Raw genomic sequence first — 4943 nt, forward strand, 5'->3', positions numbered from 1 at the left:
AGCAGAAGCTGCAAGGTCTGTTGAGGCCTGGGGTCAGAACTCTCCCAGTGCCACTTTTCTCACATTTTTGGGTGAAGGCTAACTACAGGGCCAGCCCAGATCCCACTGGTGGGGAAATAAACCTCATCTCCTGGTGGGGGAAGCTATGAAGTATCTGTGGCCAGCCTTCATCCTTCATGCCTATAATTCTACCATCTATTTGGTAAAACCAAATGAAATTGCCACAGTTTGGCAATTTTTGGCCTAAGCAGCAGCACTTTTATATGGCTCAATCTAATAATTTTGGCTGGGCGCAGTGGCTCATGCCTATAATCCCAGCACTTTGGAAGGCCAAGGCGGGTGGATCACCTGAAGTCTGGCTCAAGACCAGCCTGGCCAACATAGTGAAACCCCATCTCTATGAAAAATACAAAAATTAGCTGGGCATGATGGCGCATGCCTGTAATCCCAGCTACTCGGGGGGCTGAGGCACAAGAATTGCTTGAACCCGGGAGGTGGAGGTTGCAGTGAGCCAAGATCGCACCACTGCACTCCAGCCTGGGCGACAGAGCAAGACTCTGTCTGAAAAAAAAATTTAATACTTTGGAGTTTGTTTTTTAATTTTATAGTTTTTTATAGACAGGGGTCTCACTATGTTGCCCAGGGTGGTCTCAAACTCCTGGCCTCAAGTGATCTTTCTGCCTTGGCCTCCCAAAGTGCCGGGATTACACGTGTCAGCCACCCTGTGTAGCCTCAATCTAATACTTCCTGAATTCACCCTGGTCTGCACTGCCGTGGTCATCTGGTCTACTACACTAGCTTCCTAGCAGGTGCGTATGCCCCCAGAGGTTTTCCTGCAGTTCCTTTGTCTCACAGCAGCCAGTAAGATCTCTGCCACCTTTGAGTGTGATTACCCCACTCCTGCTGAAGACTCCCAACTCATTTACATTTTTCCTAAGTGGCATGTGAGGCCCTCCAGATCAGGCACCTACTTAACTCACCTGCTCCATTTGCTTCCCAGCTCATACCCTCTGCTCCACCTCCACTATTGCAGGACTTTCCTCAGATGCTGGGCTATGTCATAGAGAAGTTGGTTGTCCTGTGACTTTTCCTCTCCAGTTTCTCAGATCTTGAGGACGGTATTTTCTCCCCCACTGCACTCTAAAGCAGAAACAAAAATTCAAAGAAACTGCCAGGACTTAAGGGTGAGGTGAAAAGTGTTCACCTCTAGGAGTCCTGCTAACATGGGCATGAGGGAAGAGAGAGGCGGCTAAAAATAGAGTCCTCTGATGCTGCAGAGGACACTCCCCTCCTCCACCCAGAGGCAAATCATCTGTGGCCAGTCTTGTCCCCTTAAGTCCTTCTCCCGCAAAGAGCTCTGGAGACCTGGACACCCTGTGTGGGAAGAGGAGCCTGGAGGGGGAGTCTTGTTGCTCCACCAAGTTGCCCCCAAACAACTTGTGAGCAGAAGCATCCCCCGCCCTTTGTGAGTAAAGTCCTCGTTCCGCCTCTGCTCTTCCATCACTGGGCTGCGAGTCCCGGGCTCTCAACGGAACTCTTTCCTCTTCACTCAGTCCTTCCCTTCCATCTCATTTTTCCTAATCCTTCCTGTTCCCAAGGTAACAATCACTTCTTCGGGAAGGGTTTTTTTTTTTTTTTTTTTTTGAGTCTGAGTCTCGCTGTCGCCCAGGCTAGAGTGTAGCAGCATGATCTCGACTCACTGCAACCTCCGCCTCCTGGGTTCAAACGATTCTCCTGCCTCAGCCTCCCGAGTAGCTGGGATTACAGGCGCCTGCCACCATACCCGGCTAATTTATGTATTTTTAGTAGAGACGGGGGTTTCACCATGTTGGCCAGGCTGGTCTCGAACTCCTGACCTCAGGTGATCCGCCCCCACCTTGGCCTCTCAAGGTGCTAGGATTACAGGTGTGAGCTACCATGCCAGGCATGTTCCTTCATCACAATCTCCCATAGTGCCCTGTACTTCCTGAATCAGCATTATCTTAGGCAACCTCTGAAGGTCTACATAGATTCTCTCATTCACTCCTTACAACAAAGGTGTTGATTCCTATTTTACAGATAAAGAAGCAGGCACAGAGAGGTCTAGTAATTTGGCCCAGTCTGGCTCCAGGGCCCACACTCTTAACCACAAGGGTGTATTTGCCTCATGCTGCTTTTGGGACTCTTGGTTAAACATATGTCCTCACTTCTATTTGAAGTCCAGTAAGGGTAGTGAGTATATCTAACTTAATCACCACTGAATTCCTAGCTGGCAGCAGGGGGGTACTGCAGAGAAAGCTGCCCTGTTAACGTGTGTTAAGAACCAGGTGTGGTGGCTCACACCTATAATCCCAGTGCTTTTGGGAGGCCAAGGCAGGAGGATCACTTGAGGCCAGGAGTTTGAAGTTACAGTAAGCTATGATCACATCATTGTACTCCAGCCTGGGTGACAGGGCAAGGCCCTGTCTCTGTAACAACAACAACAAAAAAAAAACAGAAGTGGGCCTGGCTCAGTGGCTCACACCTGTAATCCCAGCACTTTGGGAGGCCAAGGTGGGAGAATGGCTTGAGCCTGGGAATTTGAGGCTGCAGTGAGCTGTTTGTGCCACTGCACTCCAGCTTGAGTGACAGAGCAAGACCCTGTCTCCCCCAACAACAACAACAAAATCCTCACACCCTCCTTTTTAATGGTACAAATAAATTTATTACTACTTGTATTTTTTAAGTTGGATTTTTTTCATTACATGGCTTTGTCTATTACCTATAGTTTACATAGAGTACAACGCAAAGATAGTAGGTATAAAATTTCATGAGTTTTGATAATTGTATACACGTATAATCACTGCTTCAATCAAGATATAGAGCATTTTTGGCTGGTGTGGTGGCTCATGCCTGTAATCCCAGCACTTTGGGAGGCCGAGGCAGGCGGATCACTTGAGGTCAGGAGTTTGAGACCAATGTGGCCAATGTGGTGAAACCCTGTGTCTACTAAAAATGCAAAAAATTAGCCAGGCCTGGTAGCGGGCGCCTATAGTCCCAGCTACTCAGGAGGCTGAGACAGGAGAATCGCTTGAACTTGGGAGGTGGAGGCTGCAATGAGCTGAGATTGCGCCACTGCACTCCAGCCTTGGAAATAGAGCAAGACTCCGTCTCAAAAAAAAAAAAAAAAAAAAAGATACAGAGCATTTTCATCATCCCTGAAGTTCCCTTGTACCCCTTCCCAGTCAATCCTACTCACTCTATCTCATCCCCAGGCAACCACTGTTCTGATTTCTATCTCTATAGATTAGATATACCTGTTTTGGGCTTATATGAATGGAATCATGCAATATGTACTCTTTTTGCACCTGGGTTCTTTCATGCAATATAATGTCTATGAGATGTCAAATCTCTCCACTTGATCTTGGCCAAGAGAGCGAGACGCGATGAGATGTCAAATCTCTCATCCATGTTATTGCATGTATTTCATTCCTTTTTATTATTATTTTTTGAGACAGAGTCTTGCTCTGTCACCCAGGCTGGAGTGCAGTGGGGCAATCTTGGCTCCCGCAACCTCCGCCTACCGAGTTCAAGCGATTCTCCTGCCTCAGCCTCTCCCGAGTAGCTGGGATTACAGGCGCACCCCACCACACCTGGCTAATTTTTTTTTTTTTTTTTTTTGAGACCGGGTCTCCCTCTGTTGCCCAGGCTGGAGTGCAGTGGCGCGATCTCAGCTCACTGCAAGCTCTGCCTCCTGGGTTCACACCATTCTCCTGCCTCAGCCTCCCGAGTAGCTGGGACGATAGGCACCCGCCACCACGCCCAGCTAATTTTGTTTTTGTATTTTTAGTAGAGACAGGGTTTCACTGTGTTAGCCAGGCTGGTCTCGATCTCCTGACCTCAGGTGATCCACCTGCCTTGGCCTCCCAAAGTGCTGGGATTATAGGCATGAGCCACTGCGCCCGGCCCTAATTTTTGTATTTTTAGTAGAGGTGAGGTTTCGCCATGTTGGCCAGGCTGGTCTCGAACTCCTGACCTCAGGTGATCCACCAGCCTTGGCCTCCCAAAGTGCTAGGGTTATAGGCGTGAGCCACCGCCCCCGGCCCTTTTTTTGATTTTTAATCAACATTATTGAAAGGTATAATTTATATACCATGATATTTTAAATGCACAAGTTCTCACACAAAAATTAGCCAGGGGTGGTGGCGAAGTGCTATATTCCCAGCTGCTGGGGAGCTGAGGTGCGAGGATCACTTGAGTCTGGGAGATCAAGGCTGCAGTGAGCTGTGAACGTGCCACTGCATTCCAGCCTAGGTGACAGAGCAAGACCCTGTCACAAAAAACAAACAAAAACAGTTATTCTTCCTTGGGAACTGCTTATAAAAAAGAAAAAGCAGGTCAGCACTGTGGCTCACACCTGTAATCCCAGCACTTTGGGCGGCCCAGGCAGGCAGATCCTTGAGCTCAGGAGTTCAAGGCCAGCCTAGCCAACGTGGTGAAACTCCATCTCTACTAAAAATACAAACATTATCTGGGCGTGGTGGCGTGTGCCTGTAATCCCAGCTACTTGGGAGGCTGAGGCAGGAGAACCGCTTGAATCCAGGAAGCAGAGGTTGCAGTGAGCCAAGACCCGGCCACTGCACTCCAGCCTGGGTGATATCTGTAAATAATGGTTCCATGAGTTTAGAAATACAAAGTAGCATGACTTAACAAATTTACACATCTATGTAACCAGGTCCCAATCAAGATACAGAATAATTCTATCACCCAGGAAGTTCTCTTGTGTCTGGACCAAACATCCTTCTCCACAGGTAAGCTCTGTTAGTTTTTATCAGCATAGATTTTATTTGTCCTATTCTTGAATCTCATATAAATAGATTATACATTATGTATTTGGTGGTCCTTCAACATAATGGCCAGGTGTGGTGGCTCATGCCTGTAATCCCAACACTTTGAGAGGCCAAGGCAGGAGGATCTCTGGAGTT

The 4943-nt window shown here is 48.1% G+C and overlaps 1 long non-coding RNA gene across 1 annotated transcript in view; it reads right to left on the reverse strand.

Moving 5' to 3' along the window:
- Positions 1 to 4943, reverse strand: part of DDX19A-DT (DDX19A divergent transcript) — a 31108-nt gene that overhangs the window by 25320 nt on the left and 845 nt on the right. The window contains exon 2 of the long non-coding RNA NR_039997.1: positions 981 to 1140. This is a non-coding gene — a long non-coding RNA (DDX19A divergent transcript). The remainder of the gene's footprint in view (positions 1 to 980; positions 1141 to 4943) is intronic.

Source organism: Homo sapiens, chromosome 16, assembly GCF_000001405.40.
Source record: "Homo sapiens chromosome 16, GRCh38.p14 Primary Assembly".
In the NCBI taxonomy this organism is placed as follows: domain Eukaryota; kingdom Metazoa; phylum Chordata; class Mammalia; order Primates; family Hominidae; genus Homo; species Homo sapiens.